Source organism: Homo sapiens, chromosome 14 (genome assembly GCF_000001405.40).
Source record: "Homo sapiens chromosome 14, GRCh38.p14 Primary Assembly".
Lineage (NCBI taxonomy): Eukaryota > Metazoa > Chordata > Mammalia > Primates > Hominidae > Homo > Homo sapiens.
The window spans coordinates 19,919,440-19,940,492 of NC_000014.9; the positions used below are offsets into that span (position 1 = coordinate 19,919,440).

The window sequence follows — 21,053 nt, forward strand, 5'->3', positions numbered from 1 at the left end:
ATATGGTTTCCTAAAACAGCACTTCTTTAAAGTTTTTCCAGTTCAACTGAACTAGATTTATACAGTAGGGGTATGTCTTTACAGGGTGAAAAACATACGATGCAAATTTTTAGATATTTTCAAGAGCATGAGAGGTTTATAATCATTTTTACTTCTCTATCCAGAAATTTTTTTTAAACTTCATTTTCCAGCATTAATTATAAAGATGTTTTAAGAAGATCATGGAGAACTCTAGCAGGGAGAATGTAAGTGGGCTGAAATCTAATTCTGATAGGCAAAGAAAATGAAAAATTTAGGTTCCACTCTTGGATAATCAACAGAAAATAGGATTTAGATAATTCAGGTAAGCCATAATATGTGTTTTAAGAAATTATTGGATAACTAATTGACAAACTCAGTTGGAACTATAGGCCAGTATAATATACATTCAATAGTATCTGTTTAGCAGGAATTGCCTAATTGTAAATGACTCCTGCAGGAGCACGAAGGTAAATTTCTATTAATATAGGGTGTTTAATGTATTAAGATCATATGTTGCAATACAATTACTTTGATGGTAGAATGTCATGAGTTATTCTGCTTAAACTCTAAAGTTTTCTGTAAAGTAGGTATTTTTATACCTCCCATCTTTTTTAAGGTGTGGAATTAAAGCTCAGATAAAATAATTGGCCAAAAGTTAATCTGTGTGACTTTACATCATGTAATAATAATCAAGCCATGAATATCTCTTCAAAAGTTAAGAATGTTGTATAATTGATGATGTAAGATGACCACAAGACAAGCAAATGTAAACACTTTTTGTCAACCTATGAGGCTTGTGGAGCTGGACTCTAGGTCACTCCTCTAGTCTTGTTGTCATGAGTCAGCTCCTGGGTAAGCTCATTTCCTACTGTATAAAAGACAAGGACTATCCAAAAACTCAAGGGGTTCTAATTATACTGATTAAATTATTAAGCATTATTTAGACATTTACATAAGTTCTTTCCTATTATCCACCTATCCAGACATACTATTATGGCCTCTTCAAAATTTTTGCATTCAGCAAATGCACATTATATCTGAGATCTCAGAATCCCTCACCTTAAAAGTATTCTTAATTCAAATTCTGATTCCTTTCTATTTATCCTCCTTTAGAGTTGTTTCAGAACAAGTTTGCAGCTTGGAACCATGGATAAGTCCAATTCTTCAGTGGTGTCTGAATTTGTACTGTTGGGACTCTGTAGTTCTCAAAAACTCCAGCTTTTCTATTTTTGTTTCTTCTCTGTGTTGTATACAGTCATTGTGCTGGGAAATCTTCTCATTATCCTCACAGTGACTTCTGATACCAGCCTGCACTCCCCTATGTACTTTCTCTTGGGAAACCTTTCCTTTGTTGACATTTGTCAGGCTTCTTTTGCTACCCCTAAAATGATTGCAGATTTTCTGAGTGCACACGAGACCATATCTTTCAGTGGCTGCATAGCCCAAATTTTCTTTATTCACCTTTTTACTGGAGGGGAGATGGTGCTACTTGTTTCGATGGCCTATGACAGGTATGTAGCCATATGCAAACCCTTATACTATGTGGTCATCATGAGCCGAAGGACATGCACTGTCTTGGTAATGATCTCCTGGGCTGTGAGCTTGGTGCACACATTAAGCCAGTTATCATTTACTGTGAACCTGCCTTTTTGTGGACCTAATGTAGTAGACAGCTTTTTTTGTGATCTTCCTCGAGTCACCAAACTTGCCTGCCTGGACTCTTACATCATTGAAATACTAATTGTGGTCAATAGTGGAATTCTTTCCCTAAGCACTTTCTCTCTCTTGGTCAGCTCCTACATCATTATTCTTGTTACAGTTTGGCTCAAGTCTTCAGCTGCAATGGCAAAGGCATTTTCTACGCTGGCTTCCCATATTGCAGTAGTAATATTATTCTTTGGACCTTGCATCTTCATCTATGTGTGGCCCTTTACCATCTCTCCTTTGGATAAATTTCTTGCCATATTTTACACTGTTTTCACCCCCGTCCTAAACCCCATTATTTATACACTAAGGAATAGGGATATGAAGGCTGCCGTAAGGAAAATTGTGAACCATTACCTGAGGCCAAGGAGAATTTCTGAAATGTCACTAGTAGTGAGAACTTCCTTTCATTAAGACAAAACTCCTTCAAATTCCTCAGGTCAATACACTGTTTAATATTTTAATGTATTTTTGTGGTGTATCTCAATTGTGGGGAAAGTAGTGAAGAAGATAATATAGAGAACATTTAATGAATATTAACAAGTCTTTTTCTAGGTATCAAGTGAAAGTTAAATATAAAAACATGGAAAAATCTCTGTTTAGATTACTGGTTCTAGAAATAAAATATGGGCACTAGATGGATAATATGTATGCATTTACTGCTTTTGTTACGGGGTAAATGTAAATATCAAGAAAAAAATCAATGAGAACCTAATTCTCTGGTGGGCATACATTCAAACATTTGTCAGGTTTTAAGAGTTTTCTTAACAACATGCCTAAAACTTCTATGTGGATGAATAGTATTTAAGAATCTGAAACTGAATTTTGCCAACTTCAGGGAATAGCCAAACTACAATTTAATATAACTGCTTAAGTTCAAGTGGAGATTATTAGGTTATGAGACTCCCCCCCCCAAAAATCAATTATGCCTATCCCATACGGTTTTCAAATAGCTAAAATGCTTTAAAATATGGAATGATACATACTCAGAAGCTTCCATTTTAAACCTTTCATTTAAAGGGCTGCCTCTGATTGGCTAGATAATTCCAATTTCCTTTTAGATTATGAGTTGCAGAAAAGAGAGGAGAATCTAGAAAGCTGAACTATTTCAACACCAAGATTTTCGTTTGTGCCACTTCTCTTCTTGTTCCTACAGTGCAGCTGCCAGTGGCTTATGTTCAGGCACCCAGTGGTACTCATCCTCCAGCAAGTTTTATTGCCAGCCTTGGCCTTAAATTCTCTGATCCCCATCTTCACTTCACCTTCTGTGGACTAGATCTGGTCCAGTGCAACCCAGAGAACCTCTCTCCATCTAGGGGGCCTCACTCATATTCTCTCCAAAGAGTTCTGAAACTCAACCTTGGGCAGGGCATCACCCTTCCACATTTATTTCTTCTTTGGTTTCTCTCCTTTAGGCCTATGGTATTTTTTTTTTTCAAAGTAAACTGAAGACGATTCAGATTCAGATTTAATCAGTTTTTACATGTACTCTTTTTTTTTTTACTATTGCTTTATAGTATTATGAAATATCATTGCATAAATAGATTCATGTAGTCACAACAGCCACAATAAGGACATAGACCTCTTCCGTCACTTCAAAGAAACTTTCCTGTGCTGTCTCCCCTGTGATCTTAACCCTGGCAACCAATGATCTGTTCCCCATCACTCTATTTTATTTTTTCATTTCAAGAGTGTTGTAAAATTTATCAGCTGTTCAAATGGCCTTTGTAATAATTTTTAGAAAATTTAATGTGGTTGGATTTGTGAATCATTTTTGGTATCTTTTTTTGTGTGTATGTGTCTGATTTAAGAAATCCTTCTCTCTGTCAAGATCATAAAGACATTATTTAGATTTTCTTCTGTAAATTAAAACATATATTGCTTTTTATACTTAAGAATTTCATCGCTTTGTAACTCATTTTGTACATTTTGGGAGCTAGGCATCTATTTTTATATATTTGTAAATATGTAGAAATCAGACTTGGTGTCATTTATTTAATTGTTCATTATTTCCCTCAATTTGCAATACTACCTCTCTTACATTTTCAGCTTCAGTGTATGTATGGATTTGTTACTAGACTCTATTCTGTTTCGTTAATGCATGTGTTTAGCCCTGCACCCATATTACGCTGTTTTAATTTACTACAGTTTTAAAATAAATCTTGATGTCTGATAGATTAAGTTCTCTCATCTCTTATTTTTCAGTGTCTTTGTTAGTTTATCCCCTTTATGTTCTATAAACATTTTACAACCAGCTCGTCAGATTTCTTAAAATATTATTTCAGGATTTTGTTGTAATTGCATTGGATTCATGTGTTAATTGACATACAAAGATATTTATTATATTCATTGTATATAACATATTTATTAACTTATAGAGAATGACATCTTTTACAAATAAATGTTGAAAAAGAAAAAATATGTCAACAAAAAATTACAATTATTTATGTAAAAAATGTAACTTGCAAAACAACAAATACTCTAAGCTTATGTACAAATTTAAAGATGTGCATTTAGAGAAAATTATAAAATTTAACAAAAGGTAGTAATGAAGAGTGTATTAGTAAATCAAACTTAAATAAGTGAAGATAGACACTATATTAATAAATAGAAAAACAGTATGGTAAAAGATGTCAGTTCTCTCTTAGGGTATTTTTTTAGAGTTACTTTTTATTCTCCTTGTAGTAGCTAATTCCTATTACCAGTTGCTAATTCTTTATATTAAGTATTCTCTGTTCAAATTACTCATGTGGGTTCTGTCTCCTGACTAGACTCTGACAGATACAGATACTTTTAAGTATTTTGAAGGTATCGAAAAATCAGAAGCATCTCATCAAATATGTTAATGAGAGAAATCAGGAGCCAGTTGAATAAAAAAAAGTCAGTAGCTTCATCTATTTATGCACTAAAGTGAAATTCATCTATGACATGCTTGAAAATATAAAAAATGATAGGGCTGGGTGCGGTGGCTCACGCCTGTAATCCTAGCACTTTGGGAGGCCGAAGTGGGCGGATAACCTGAGGTCAGGAATTCAAGACCAGCCTGACCAACATAGAGAAAACCCCTCTCTACTAAAAATACAAAATTAGCCGGGCATGGTGGCACATGCCTATAGTCCCAGCTACTCGGGAGGCTGAGGCAGGAGAATCGCTTGAACTTGGGAGGCGGAGGTTGTGGTGAGCCGAGATCGCGCCATTGCACTCCAGCCTGGGCAACAAGAGCAAAACTCCGTATCAAAAAAAAAAAAAAAAAAAAAAAAAAAGATAGCATTTATAAAGTGAATGCTATCATTTGGTAAACTCAAATTTATTTCTTGACTTTTTAATAATCGCCATCCTGACTGGTGTGAGATGGTATTTCATTGTGGTTTTGATTTGCATTAGATGCTGGTGAAACTGTGGAGAAATAGGAATGCTTTTACACTGTTGGTGAGAGTGTAAATTAGTTCAATCATCGTGGAAGACGGTGTAGCTATTCCTCAAAGATCTAGAGCCAGAAATACCATTTGACCCAGCAAACCCATTACTGGTTATATACCCAAAGGAATATAAATCATTCTATTCTAAAGACACATGCACATGTATGTTTATTGCAGCACTATTTCCACAAATTTTTCAAATTACTCTAGTTCCAATAAAAACAAGGGACATTCCTAATGCTAAGAGCAATGAATTTCTAATTTAATTAATTCTTATTTAAGGGAAACTATTAAAGGCACATAGCATCGTATTTCGGTTAGGATTGTGATATTATGTACTGTAGAATCCCACCTTAAATTTTGTTTAAAATATAAAAAATAGAAAAATAAATAAAAAAATAAAGCAACTATTAATATAACTTGGTAATCAACTTTTTAATACACACATTTCAAAGTAATAGGATAGTATTAAAAATTCTTTTTTTTTCCTCTGGTTTACAGATCCTATAGACTTTCCCTGCACTGCTGACAAATTGACAGAGAAATATCATTAACTGAATAAAATGGCAGAAGAAGTGAACATTTTAGTAAATGTGGAAATAACTCTAGTCAATTGAAAAAGTGTAAAGGAAAGTGTCTTGAGTTGGCTGTCAAAAACTGGGATTTGAACATTGATTATATTACTATTTTTGACATTGAACAGATTACTTAGCTTTTGATCAAGTCACCAATCTCTTCAGTCTTTTAATTTTCAGCTATTTCTCTCAGAATAAAGAAAAGAAAAAAAAAACTACCTTTTTGGTTCACACAGGCTCTGTATTATATGGCTTCTTCTTCACGATAACCCATACAATGAGTTAATTAACATATTTCTCCCTGGCTAAGCCAAACTCTACCTTATTAGGGGATTTGTTTATGGTAGATGAATATATTCCTAAATTGCTTTTGATAATCTGAATATTTTAAAAAGTAAGAAGGGATGCTACCAAACCCAGGGCAGACTTTTATTTGTTTCCTGAGATCTCACAATTTAAGCTACTTCTGCTATGCTTATGAACTAAGTTGATGAGCAGTCCTTCTGACAAGGAACAGTCCTTCAGACAATGCCCAGCACAGAAGCTGTTCGAAAGAGCTGATGTGATGCCTCAGACTTTACAGAGAGACGGTGTCATGGCTCGTGGGGAGAGTACCCCAAAAGGCCAACGGGATAAAGGATGAAGAAGCTTTAGTTCCATTGACTAAATAGAGACAACTGGCAATAGTATGAGTCAAGTTAGTCACAGGACAAGGAGGAAAGTATCAGAGGTACACTTTCCAGGAATGCAGAGTAACAGAGTCCTCCAGGAAAAAACAGAGTAGGTGATTGCAAAGGCACTTCAGGGTGGTCTTTAGAGGAACATAAAGGTGGGGTGTGGGTGGAATGGATCTGTCAGCAGAGCCAAGATCCAGTATTTCACCATAGGTGTTTTACTTTTTAAACAAATCTACATTTCATCATAAATACTTTTCCATGGAGAAGATCCTTGCCATATTATATGTTGTATTTGCAATATCTTGAAATTCAAATAGATTTAACCTCATATTGAGTACATGAAGGATATAATAAAACTACCAACATGTCAACAAAAAGTTGTAGAAAACCTCTCGTCTTTGTCTTGTGATGGAGTTCTCACCCTTAAAAAGTCACATTTCTTACACCATAACTTTCTGAACATTTATAGTTTGTTCAGCTTTTTCAAACTCTTTTACTCTCTGTCATAATATTGTCCTGAGGGAACTTAATGGTCATGATAATCTATAGAACATCATTTTAGTCACACATTGAAGGCATGCACTGATTAGACCTGTGAGTAGGAAGTGACATACAAGAAGGTTAGCAATAACCCTTAGATATTTTCAGAATTCTGCTAAATCATTTAGGTGTTGAGTCCAATACGCTAGGGCAGGCTAGACTATCCTCTCATTACATAAAATACACATTATTTTGTTTTATATTCTTTACCACTGAGAAAGAGGCACAGTTCTCTCAAGATCATTGAATGTTATAGGCAGCATAAAAACTGCTTCATAAATACTACTTTAGATCAATTTTAGGTTGATTCATAGTATTTCCAGTTTTCAGTGGGTCCCCGTACTAACTCTGGTCTTCAGTGCAAACTGCCCAGCCATTCAGGCTATGTCGACCAGAAATCCAATGAAATGGAGATATCCATGATAAATAAGGACATTGTGTAGATTATTTACAAAAGTCAATTAGATAAATAACAATACTTTTAGGATTCCAGAAAAAAAGCTCTGCAGAAGCCAACTGCTTACTATTTAAAAATAGATCTTAGTATGCTGTTGGGTCTTATCAGGGACTAAGTACCTGACCATTGATTTCCAAGTGACTGCCTACATGAAAAGCACTGCTCATCATGAACTGTTATCAGATTTATTAAATCATAATTTCTAGCTGCCACAGCAGCAAGCCATCACACATTGGAAATGGCATGTGTAGGACCACGCTGAAGCAGGTATAAAGGCACTAGGAATTGGTATGAACAGATAGTCTAAATCCCTTATCAAGTATTTCTGTGGCATTAATATATTTTCTTAAGCTCAATATTATGGCCTCATGAGAGAGTTTCTACGGATGACTTCATTCTATGCCTTGGTGCAAGCCAAAAAATGGGACTGCTGCTGCATTACTACTCACTCAGATGACCTTCATGGACACTCAGGAGGAAGAATTCTCTCATTGGCCAGAGCCATAAACATTGCACTTAGTTATCAGATTTAGATGGAGAATTGGTCATAAGTAAAAATAAACATGAATTTGTGGGCTTTGAAAAATGGCTTTGCTAGCTTGTTAGGGGTCTTGAAGATCAAAATTGAAAATTGGAGGAAAGTAGTCTGGGAGGGAAGAATGAGGATGAACGTATGTGAGTGGGCTCTAAGTGTGTAGATTTTTGTACTTTACAACAATGCCTATCAGGGACCAAAAACATGGACTCTCTTTTATCAAGGTTAGTCTCATACCACTGCTACAGCTCCTGAATGCTTGGTCTGTTGGCAGAAGGGAGTCATGCTGCAACCTTGTTATGGTGCCATTCTGCAGAAAGACCACATCCATTTGGTGGCAAATCAACTGTATCACACCCCTTCCTCTGAAGGGGGGGTAGTGATTTGTCTTTATTGGAATTCATTCCTATTCCTGATGTGAGTTTTCCCTCTCTACCTGTAGTCCTTCTCCCCAGACACAATTCCAGGGCACACAGAGTGTTTGACATATGGATATAGGATTCCACAGAGATTGTCTCTGGAATTATAGACAAAAGTATTTACAGTGAAGAAACTGGAATTTATTGAATTTACAGTGAAGAGGTGTGACAATAGAGACATATCATGGATCCATTTTTCTGGGAAGCTTCCAGCCACAAACAAGATTGGAATGACCTTTAAAAGCCTCAGATAAAAGTCTGTTGTTGAGATTATACTCACATTTTTTGAGATGGTGAACTCCAAAATGTAATATATTTGTTGAAATGACAGTTAATTTGCAATTTTGTGTCACCAGTAGCTAAAATACTCACAATCAGATAACAAGGAATAGACAAGGCATAGATTGGACTCTCTCTGCATCATTCCCATTGATCCACTTATGGATTTTGTGGTTCCTGTCCCAACAATTCTAGGATTTACTATGATCTTGCTTATTTATTTATTTTATTTATTTATTTATTTATTGCTAGTGGTTTATTGAATGTCTTGCTTCTATGGCTAGAACTATACTTCAGTTATGGAAAGCTTTTAGCCAGGATCTCTTCAGCTATTGTTTTAGTCTTGTGCTCTCTTCTTCTGTGACTTCAATTATGTTTATCTTTCTCCAATGTGTCGCTAATTCATGTCTTGTCTTTGCCACCTTTGCCAATTTAACTGACAATAGAAAGCTTTTTTTTAAAATTCCTATTTGTTTATTTTACATTTCTCTAAATAATAAATAGGGTTTTTATTTTTAATTGGGCATATTTTTTGCCTCTTAAATTAAAATGTTACCTGTTTTCTACTTTAAGTATGTTTACTAAGTATAAAATGTATGTTTCTATTTAGATTTTCATTGACAAATAATTAACATATTTTCTCCCCAAATTACTCCAAATTATGTTGACATTTTTTCAATCTGTAAGGTAAAGATGTCTTATTATTGTCATAGAGTTGCAGAGTATTTCTGTTCTTTTGAACTCCTTGTGCATCTGCTCATTTTTCTACTTATTGATATTTCTTTATTTTAATTACTAATAATATTTTGATTTACAAGGAATTAGTCTCATTGGTCATATATGTTGCACATATTTTATAGTTTGCTTTTTTATTTAATGTTGATTGTGGGTTTTTTTGATATATCAAATCTAAAAATGATTAAGTCAATCAATTCTATCCATTACATAGCCATATATTTATGGCTTCTTTAACATCATGCTTTAGAGGCCTTACCAACTCCAAGATTATAAAAAAATCTTCACGTGCTTTTTTCTAATTTTTAAAACTTAATCTTTGATCCAATTAAAATTTATTTTGCTTTTATAACTGTATGCAGATAGAAATTTACTTTTTCCCATGAATTTCATTTATATAGTAATCTACATTTCTTTAAATTATTATAAATATTATTATATAGTTTATACATATATATTTGGTTATATTTCTGGATACTATTCTGTTTCATTTATTTTTTATATATAGATATATATAATTAAAATAATATAATATGTGCATTTTATACATATCACACTCTGTGTGTGTGTGTGTGTGTGTGTGTGTGTGTGTGTGTGTGTGTGTGCGTATGGGGGGAGAGAGAGAGAGACAGAGACAGAGAGCATGGACCAAAATATTTCACCTTGGAGCTTTTCTTATTTTTTTTGGTAAAGTTACTTCTGGTTATTTTTCTCTTGCAAATATTTCTTGTCTACTGTCACACAATTTATCTCCTAGTAATCTTTGTAGGCTATTTTAATAATGGTTATTTTATGCAATCAAAAGAAATGATTTCTAATCATCCTGAGCAAAATGGAATTATTAGGAGGATTTGGCATTATCTGCATATTTGATAGTACATTTAGAGAAGCAGCCTCATAAAATGAGCAGAACCATTAGAAGCCAGACAGCACGAAAAACAGTCAAGATTATGCTTGTCTGGTAAAAACAAATGCTTGTTGACACTGGGTCTTCCCTGAATCATTGCTGCTGAAATCTAACATTATTTTACTATTGTGATAGTCCCTTAACTGTCTGTTTGTCATTGTATATCTCCCTTAAGATGCTAAATTAGGCTTTATGCTTTTGAATTTTTCTTTGTAGTCTGGATATTTTAAAACTTTAATTCATAAGTGTGTCCATTGATTTGGTTTATAAAAGTTCGAACATAATTTTACAATCTTTAACTTTTTTTCCCTCAACATTATGTTTTTAACCATACATATTCATGTACAAAATATTATTTAACAATTTTAATTATTGAATGTATTTCATCACACTAAAATATTATATTTCCCCACTCTCAAATTTATATATATATATGTACTTAGGTTTTTTCCAGTATCTCTCCTTCAGCCAGTGCTGCAATATGTGCCATTGTGCTCAAATGCTTATATATGTGAATGTTTTACTAAGGTGTACACATGCACACAGGATAGATAGGAAGATAGAAACACTAAGTAATAGGGAATCTTACCTTCAATTTTTTTACTTAAAGATGACCACTTGAAACTTACATCAGAACCTGTGGAGATCTAGAAAACTTATATAAAATATAGTTGAAAAAGACTGTTGATGTATTTTGGGAAAGAAATTTATATAGGGAATAAATGAGAGCCTCTTTAAATATTTGAAGAAACATAATACTGAAGTGCTAATAGATTTACTCTTTAAATTACAAATGGTAGAAACAGTGGAGCACAGACTGAACTGTCTTATGAAGCAGTGGGCTCCTTGTGATTGGAGGAAACACCCTGAGGCGAGGTGATAATTTTTAAGATTGTGTGATTGTTTTATTAACAGAGAGTTAGGAGTTGAATACCTGAATACTTCCTTTGCTGACTGATACTCAGTTAAAATCAAGTAATCTTTTGCTTTCATATGTATACACTAGTTGGCGAACAAACAAACAAACCTTTTTTTCTTTTCCATTTCTGGAAAATTATTTTGTAAAACATAATTACTCCCACTGGAAAGTGACCTCAGATCTCTAAAGGGTGTTTTCTTGCTTCACCAATGAAATCAGTTTTCTAGAATGAGGTTGAAAGGCTTTATATTGTATTGCCTTAAGTTATTGTAATTGCTCGGTTGAGTGCAAGGTGATCAGAGCCCTCACTACATCAGGACAGGACCTGAGGACCTGAGAGGCTTCCTTCCATACGGCATAGTGTAGGGAACCAAGTTAAAATGCATCAAGTTAAGATTATATTACAAATATTTTCAGTATGAAGACTCATAGCAGAAAGTGGGAAATGGAAACAAACCAGAGGACACCAAACTGGGAAAATAAGGAAGAAGTGAAAGACTTGGACAACTTTTTCAAAGTGTAAGTATTATACATTCATTGTGAACATATTGTTGCACTGGAGAAATAATTAATGAGATCTCTTATAGATGCAAAAACAGCAACTAGAAGATAGCAAAGTGGAAGTTATTGCTGTCTCAGACAAATTGAAAACTCCCTCTGGAAGAAGAATATTCCTGTTCTCCACTTCTCTGTCTATATCATTCTTCCACTGCACTGCTTCTGGGCAACCCTGGTAAGAAGAGGATCAGAATCTGATAAACAGAGGAACATATGTTACAACCATTATCTGTCCCTTCTCTGACCCATTTATGCTTTCTGTTCAGTGACTCTGTAGCCATTAGTTTAACAAATGTTTATTGACTACCAAAATTTGCCTCAAATGAAGAAAAGTGTAGCTATACACAGTAGAGTAATGGTCAGTAGTATATCCTTTATTGTTTGCTTCTAGGCTTATAGGTAATCAAGTATTATACATTAAAATAAAAACAAGAAAAAATTATTCATGCTTATGATTTCAGAGTTCCATTGACACATTGTATAGTAGATATTAATGCAACAGCAACCCTTTCATATCCAACTTGGCTTTACACCAAGAATAGGGAAATTTTCTTATGGTGTATTTTGGGATCTGAAAACACTCCTATCTCTGAGGTATAGTGGCAATGACAGAATGAATGATTCAATAATGAAGAAGCTTCTGGGTGCTCTGTGGACTGCTGAAGGAATGCTAACTTTTATAAACTCCATGTGTTTCCATAACTGCCTCTGCACTTAGAATTTTAGAGATGAAACTAGCTTTAGAGATAATCCAGTTCTATCTTTTAAGTTCAGTCACACAGCCAGCAAGTAGCAAATGTTATTTGTCTATACTATTGGGTAACTACCTTAATTATTAAGAAGAAAATGAGATATAATGTTGAACCTGATCTGTTCTACTTGCATTTAAAAAATCATAGGAAGTTAGTTTGGAGAGGAATTTCTAGTTGTTTCCTATATTTTGAAAAATTAAGACTAAAAACCTTATCATTTATTAGATATTGAAAAGATATAATTTGTGGGAAATTTGGATATTTTCAAAAGTATATTTTTCAAAGATAAGATGATTTTTGAAAAAGGAATAATTCCACTAACATTATTTAACAATTTTTTGTTAATCATGTTTCATTCTCTTTCTTCTTCCTTCTCCTTCTCCTTTTCCTTTTTTCTTCCTCCTCCTCCTCCTCCTCCTCTTGCTCCTTCTCTTCTCCCTCTTTCTCCCCCTTTGTCTTCTTGAGCACCCTTTTTCATCTCTTTCAATCTCCACTCCCGTGTAAATGCCTATTACGTTCCACTCTGAAATGTAACAAGTGACATCGCCATTTCACATGTTAGAAAAGGAGTTGAGAAAAGTCAAGGAACTGTTCATTCCATTAGAAATTTTAGGAGCTGAGACTAAATCCAAGACTGTCCCACTTTAGAGCCCCACCACTGTTCTATCACTCATAAGATTTAGCTTTGTTTGTCCAAAAGCATCTCCTAGTCTACTGTAGGAGTCATTACTACAAGTATACAACTTACTAGTAGTATAAACTTGGGCAATTTACTTAGCCTAAGCTTCTCTGTGCCTGAGTTCCTTCAATTATAAAATGCATATTTGAATGGTAGCTACTTTGTAAGATTATTTTGAGCATTAAATGAGTACAAATGCATGCCATATGCTTAGGGGACTGCTTAAAACATAGAAAAATGTCATTTGTGATAAGATTTGCCACTTAAATGAATCACACAGTATTTTGCACATACATCTATTATAGCAAATATTAGAAAATGTGCTTTATATAAAAATAATAATATTTATAACACTTATAAATATATATTTATAGCACTTATAAATATTATTATTTTTATATAAAGCATGTATTCTAATATTTGCTGTAATAGATGTATGTACAAAATACTGTGTGATTCATTTAAGTGGCAAATCTTATCACAAATGACATTTCAATTATGGAGTTTTTTTACTGTAATTATAATGGTTCATTATTATTACAGTATAATGAACTGGTATATATTCTATACCAATAGAAGTATAATCTAAATTTATTTGCATGCTCTGTGTAAAGGATTTTTTTTTTGCTTAATAACCTATGAAAATAAATAATTTTTTATTCCATTAAATAACTGCATTTAATAGGCTTTCCACAATGAGTCAAATGCTATAAGCAGTTCCTCATGGTGTCAAATTTTATCTTTTTAAATTCATAACTATAGCTCTTTAGGAATTTTTTTACTCTTAGGAATGGGAATATCTTTCTTTTTCAATGTTTCTTTGCTTCCTCGTTTCCCCTGCTCATGTACACACATGATTAGAGATGCCAGCATTGCCCCAAATCTTCCACATGGAAATGAGATCCCATCATGGAAACTTGTAGTTAGGTCAGTTCATGCCTCGTTGATCTGTTTACATTCTTGAGTAACTTAGGTTTCTGCATTCTTTTTTTTTTGAGATGGAGTCTCACTCCATCACCCAGGCTGGAGTGCAGTGGAATGATCTTGGCTCACTGCAACCTCCACCCCTCAGGTTCAAGCGATTCTCCTGCCTCAGCCTCCCGAGTAGCTGGGACTACAAGTGTGTGCCACCACACTAATTTTGTATTTTTAGTAGAGACGGGGTTTCACCATGATTGCCAGGCAGGTCTTGAACTCCTGACCTCGTGATCTGCCCACCTCGGCCTCCCAAAGTGCTGGGATTACAGGCATGAGCCACCATGCCCGGCCTGCATTCTTCTTAAAACCAATTCAATTCTTCATAACCAATGCAAACACGGAAAGCCCTGAAAGTGTAGGATATAGTGCTCCAACATCCAGGTTAAAACTACATAATGAAAGCTTGAAAACAGTTTAAACACTTTTTAATTTGGTTTACCATTACCTATACAATTTTAACTTTTAAAATATAAAATATTTATTATTTTGGTCATGTCTAAATAACCTGGTTCTAACAAACCACTGAAGAACATGGAGGGGTGCAGAGCTTCAGTTAGTATAAGGACAAATAAATATCTGTTGTGTACTGTTGGATACACAGAGCTAAGGTCAAAAATGTTTCCTGAACCACTTCAGGAAGGGTGTGTAGGGTTTTCTCTGTGACCAAGTGGCCACATGTATTAAGCAAAATGTCAAAAAACATTTAAGAGCAAATTTACTTACTAGTTAACTTTTCTGAGAATGTCTTATGCCTTTGAAATGAACTATATGAGATATTTCTTAAAGGACCATTCCTGAAAGGTGTTAGAGATTTTGACAAATTCAAGTTTGTCAGGTGTGTATAGAAAGATAAAACACAGTCAGAAGAAAGAGACTGAAAACATGTTGTTGGTTATTGTTTCATTTATTGTTAATTGCTTTCTATGTGACAGAAGGTGAACTTTGATTAACTATTTGTTAAAAGGTTGAAAGGAAGTGTTCTTGACCTTCAGAGAAATTTTCAGAGTGTAACCATTGGCTCTTCCTTCTCTATTATAGCAAATTGTTTCTATCATTTTCTTTTCTTTTTTCTTCTTTTAACATTTTTTTTTTTTGAGACAGAGTTTCACTCTTGTTGCCCAGGCAGGAGTGCAGTGGTGTGATCTCGGCTCACTGCAACCTCCGCCTCCCAGGTTCAAGCAATTCTCCTGCCTCAGCCTCCCAAGTAGGGGGGAATACAGGTGCCCACCACCACGCCCGGCTAATTTTTTTGTATTTTTAGTAGAGACGGGGTTTCACCATGTTGGTCAGGCTGATCTTGAACTCCTGACCTCAGGTGATCCACCTGCCTTGGCCTCTCAAAGTGCTGGGATTACAGGCATGACCCACCGTGCCTGGCCGCTTCTTTTGTTTCTTAAAATACTTCCAAGAACATTATGACTCTCAGTTCCATTTAGTCTTGTGCTTAAGGCTAATTGCATTCACGATTTGCTCCTGATCTACCATTCGTTAATTTAATTTTTATTGTTTCTTAGCACACTCTCCAGCCAGGCCACTCAACTAACAGTTTCCTGAATGAAGTACATCTTTATATTTTTACCTTTGATTCTTTATTCATGTTATTCATTTCACTTGAAATAAAAGACTTTTCCTTCACTTTTGGCTAGCAAATTTCAAACTTTAGAGAAGTTTTAGCACAAATAGAAATTATTCGAGCTAAAACTTATCTTACCACTTTGGCATAATCTCTTTAATCTTATTAACATTTATACTATTCATGTATTTCACTTATACTTTCCTGTTTCTGATTTTATATTTTCATTTCTTTAGTATGTGTAGTTTTTTCTAATTATGACAGGGATTCATATCTAATCCTCTTTTTCACACTCTTTCAACTTTCATAGCAGTCATGGATGTTAAATATTAGTCAACTGAGTATTTACATACGTAAATATATGTAACCTAATTAAATTGACTATTTCTTTTGTTTAGAATTGACTATATTTCTTTTGTTTATAAACTAGAGGTATTGTAATGCCAATCATTGTGACATTTTTCTGATTTCTTTTTTTTAGGTAACTGAATATTGGATACATGGCTCACACAAATGAATCGATGGTGTCTGAGTTTGTACTTTTGGGACTCTCTAATTCCTGGGGACTTCAACTTTTCTTTTTTGCCATCTTCTCTATAGTCTATGTGACATCAGTGCTAGGCAATGTCTTAATTATTGTCATTATTTCTTTTGACTCCCATTTGAACTCTCCTATGTACTTCTTGCTCAGTAATCTTTCTTTCATTGATATCTGTCAGTCTAACTTTGCCACCCCCAAGATGCTTGTAGACTTTTTTATTGAGCGCAAGACTATCTCCTTTGAGGGTTGCATGGCCCAGATATTCGTTCTTCACAGTTTTGTTGGGAGTGAGATGATGTTGCTTGTAGCTATGGCATATGACAGATTTATAGCCATATGTAAGCCTCTGCACTACAGTACAATTATGAACCGGAGGCTCTGTGTAATTTTTGTGTCTATTTCCTGGGCGGTGGGCGTTCTTCATTCTGTGAGCCACTTGGCTTTTACAGTGGACCTGCCATTCTGTGGTCCCAATGAGGTGGATAGCTTCTTTTGTGACCTTCCCTTGGTGATAGAGCTGGCTTGCATGGATACATATGAAATGGAAATTATGACCCTAACGAACAGTGGCCTGATATCATTGAGCTGTTTCCTGGCTTTAATTATTTCCTACACCATCATTTTGATCGGTGTCCGATGCAGGTCCTCCAGTGGGTCATCTAAGGCTCTTTCTACATTAACTGCCCACATCACAGTGGTCATTCTTTTCTTCGGGCCTTGCATTTATTTCTATATATGGCCTTTTAGCAGACTTCCTGTGGACAAATTTCTTTCTGTGTTCTACACTGTTTGTACTCCCTTGTTGAACCCCATCATCTACTCTCTGAGGAATGAAGATGTTAAAGCAGCCATGTGGAAGCTGAGAAACCGTCATGTGAACTCCTGGAAAAACTAGGGATCATTACGAAGGAGCATAATCCTGAATTAGAATGAAGACCCTCCAGTGTATCATAGTGTCATGCCAACCATCTTTGCCAGACATATGGGTTATTGAGTTACAGAATTGGCTTTTTGTTTTAAGTGCAAGGGAATTGCATCAAGTCAGTCTCTGGTTCTATTTAAATATAATGTTAACTATTTTTTCATTGTTTATAATTCAAAAGTACAAATTGTCTTGAAAATATTTAGTAATATTTTAAAATATTTTATAAAGATTTAGAGATTCCAATGTGCATAAAATGTTATTCATGTTACTAAGCTTGTGATTCTCTTCAATTGAATACATCATAAATTTAGACCTGACAATCAAAATGTACAGTCATACTGAATTTCTGATATCTTTACCCAATTTATTCATAACATTACAACATACATTGACATAGTAGAAAAAGTATCACATTTTACAACATGGATTTCACCTTACTGTTATATATTTTTAGCTTTTCTTTATCTTATGTATTATTTTAGTAATTTATAATTTGGTTATTATATATTTGTGTATTTATAGTTTTCCCTATTTACTATTTTATTCCTATTTTTTTCTGTTTTCCTTTAGATTATTTGACATAAATTTTTGCTTTTTACAAAATTTTCTAGGTATTTGGTGCCATCAACAACATATATATATATGTGTGTGTGTATATATATATATAAAATATATATAATATATATAAAAAATATATAATATATATAAAAATATATAATATATATTTGTCAGAAGCCTACTTATTTTTAAAGTAGAATAAATTGGCTATAATGAATTCCACATTATTCACAGAAAATTTCAAATATCTTTGAAACTGTTTGCAAATATGGCAGATGTTGAATATTTAAGTTCAAAGAAAAAGTAAAGTATCTAACGCATACAAATGTACAGAATGACACAAATCATTTGCTACTGAAAATCCAAAGTGAAATTTGTTCTTTCATATTTGTTTGAAAACAGAAGAGAGAAAAGTAAAATTTATGTACCTCTAATACTAGTGATTAAAAGCATCTGTTAAGTATTGTTTCATTTTCCAGCTAAAAGTTTTCTTATGTACTTCTCCCTGAGATTTGCATTACGAAAAGTCCTTGTAATAGGAAGACTAATTGTATTCTATAATAACAATGAGATAAAGAACTACTTAATGGAAAATATAAAGCCTGTGATTGTCATCACTCTAGATTCCTATTTTAATTATAAGAGTTATGTTAGTGGCTATGTGTACAGATATTAACTCTGCATGCTAAATCCTAGTGGAAGTAAAATTTTAGATATAGGCACACAGTCCTGTTAAATCATCATATTATTTAGCTGGTTTTTTATTTTTTTGAGCTTCAGATTATTTTTGGTTAACTTCATTTGTACACTGTCAAACATAATGACCTGTTAAACTTGACTACCTGTTATATTTTTTATATGGTGCCAAAACATTTTGGACACACAATAAACATGAAAGCATTGATGATATTTTTGGTAGTATTATTTTCTCCTCACTACAGTGGAAGTGAAAAGGTGTTGAATGTATACTTCACCAATGAGGTCATTTCACTGCTCTAATTCTCATATGTAAAATAAAGTTGTTAAAAATAGCTATTTTGCAGGAACTATGTGACACAAGAGGATATAATGGAAATAAAGGCACTTTATGAAGCATGAAACATACAAATAGCTTTAGTGTTATTACTTTTGAAAAGGTAATTCTGCAGGCACCTGGATGAGTATGAATTCTGTGAAGGCAGCCTTTTGCTCCTTCTGCCTGTCAGGTAAACAAAACTGATGATGCTTGGGCGCACTCTTTGTTTTCCCTTATTAAAATGTGCAAGTCTAAATTTAGAATTTTGCAGTGATCATTTATTAGCACCAACTTAGAAACCAAATTAAATATATTCAATAACAAATAAATGTATGCTGTGTACAAAATACACTATTAGAATTATACAAATATTAATCCTTTCCATCAAAATCTTAGCATCAGATACGGCAGAAATTAATTAAACATGAATAATTAAAATACAATCTAGGTTTTGATGAATGTCATAGTGGAGAAAATGTACTATGGAAATGAGAAAGAAAATTGATTTCTTACTCCCGAAGTAAAAAAGACATGGAAAGAATAGATTTGGATTTCAATGTTTGGATGTTGTATTAGTTTCCTAGGGCAGCCATAACAAATTTCTACAAAATGGGTGGCTAAAAAAAAGATTTATTATGTCACAATTCTGGAGACTATATATATCACAATTAAAATATATTTCCTTTAAGATTGAGAATGAGACAGAAAATGTTATTATCATGATTTCTATTCAATGTGCTGAAGATTCCAGACAATTTGAGACAAAATAGCAATAAAGTATGTGCTTAGAAAAAACATATTTTTAGAAAAATATTTTTTCTGTATATATGTAGAAAATATTTTAAGCTATTAAAGTTAACTAGTGCATTTAGCAATGTTGTTTGATAATGGTTAATTTTTCCCAAATTGATCCATAGATTTAATGCAATCTCAATCAAATTTCTAATAATATATTTGAGCAAATTGACATGCTGATTCTAAAATTTATATGGAAATACAAAGAGGCAAGAATATCCAAAGATATTTTGAAGGAAGACATACATTACGTATATCAAGACTTTCTTCAAATTTGAAAGAAGACACAAGAAGTCTTCATATATGGTAGAGTATGTCGTCCATTGAAACTTCCTTGACTATTCTTGCCTCTTTGCATTTCCAAAGACATGAAATTAACCTAGATGCCCATAAATGGCAGACTGGATGAAGAAAACATGGTACATATACACAATGGAATACAATGCAGCCATAAAAAGAATGAGATCATGCCCTTTTCAGCAACAGAGATGAAGCTGAAGGCCATTATCCTAAGCAAAGTAACACAGAAACAAAAAACCAAATACCACATGTAGTCACAAGTGGGAGCTAAACACTGAGTATGAATGGACACAAAAAAGAAAATAATAGACACTGGGGCCTACTACAGAGAGAAAGGTGGGAGAAGAGGGAAAATCCAAAAACCACCTGTTGAGTACTATGGTTATTACCTGGGTAACAGAATTATCTGTATAACAAACATCTGTGACATGTAATTTACCTATAAAACAAACCTGCACATATGCCCGTGAAATAAAAATAAAAGTTAAACAAAAGACTACATATTGAAATCTTGTATTGGTAAAGAAAAAAGAAACATGTTAGTGAAACACACTAGAGATTCTGGGAACAAAAAGCAAGTACATAGTCACCTGATCTATGAGAAATAGGATAATGAAGAGAAGAAACAAAAATATGAAGCTTGGCAATTGTACTCTTACCTTTAACAAACAACAACAAAAAAGCTTGGCTCTAAATTCACAAAAATAATTCAAAATAATATATATTTCTATATAAATAAAAATAAAGCTTTTAGAATATGATATAGGAGAATGTTTTCATGACTTTTATATATGCAAGGATTTCTTAAATATGACACAAATAACTTTAAACTTAACAGAGTCTATATTGGACATACAAAGACTTGAAATTAAAGCTCTTAAAAGCAGACATCTGGTAAATCTATGATTGGTAATAGTGCGTGTGTGTGTGTGAGTGTGTGTGGAGAGAGAGAGAGAAAGAGAGCAGAGGGAGAGTGCACGCACATACAACAGCTCTGTGGCTTGGATGGTCTGGGCACTTGGAGGATATACAAAGTATGAACCTACATTTTAAGAACCCTCTACCAAACTGGGAAACAAGACTCATGCAAAGAAACAATAAAGTAATACAAGAAAAAAAAGAAAAAATGACAAACTAGACTTCATTAAAATACACTATCAATCACCATTAAAGACGAGAGTGAAAATGCAGG

The 21,053-nt window shown here is 33.7% G+C and overlaps 2 protein-coding genes and 1 long non-coding RNA gene across 4 annotated transcripts in view; 2 read left to right on the top strand and 1 right to left on the bottom strand.

The window, feature by feature from the left end:
- Positions 1 to 21,053, bottom strand: part of LOC124903278 (uncharacterized) — a 46,274-nt gene that overhangs the window by 16,979 nt on the left and 8,242 nt on the right. The window lies entirely within an intron of this gene.
- OR4K1 (olfactory receptor family 4 subfamily K member 1) lies at positions 824 to 17,318 on the top strand. 2 transcript variants are annotated; one of them, XM_011537153.3, is made up of 3 exons: positions 824 to 873; positions 11,605 to 11,706; positions 16,209 to 17,318. In XM_011537153.3, the coding sequence occupies exon 3, from the start codon at positions 16,228 to 16,230 to the stop codon at positions 17,161 to 17,163; it is 936 nt and encodes a 311-aa protein (XP_011535455.1). In that variant the 5' UTR covers positions 824 to 873; positions 11,605 to 11,706; positions 16,209 to 16,227; the 3' UTR covers positions 17,164 to 17,318. The 2 variants fall into 2 exon arrangements, with proteins under 2 accessions (XP_011535455.1, NP_001004063.2); NM_001004063.3 differs by lacking the exon at positions 824 to 873 and having other exon boundaries at positions 11,478 to 11,706.
- OR4K5 (olfactory receptor family 4 subfamily K member 5) lies at positions 1,168 to 2,139 on the top strand. Its single transcript, NM_001005483.1, has one exon. The coding sequence runs from the start codon at positions 1,168 to 1,170 to the stop codon at positions 2,137 to 2,139; it is 972 nt and encodes a 323-aa protein (NP_001005483.1).

Excerpts from the sequence above, each read along its gene's own strand:
- OR4K5 (NM_001005483.1), top strand. The coding sequence starts at position 1,168 with ATGGATAAGTCCAATTCTTCAGTGGTGTCTGAATTTGTACTGTTGGGA.
- OR4K1 (XM_011537153.3), top strand. The coding sequence starts at position 16,228 with ATGGCTCACACAAATGAATCGATGGTGTCTGAGTTTGTACTTTTGGGA.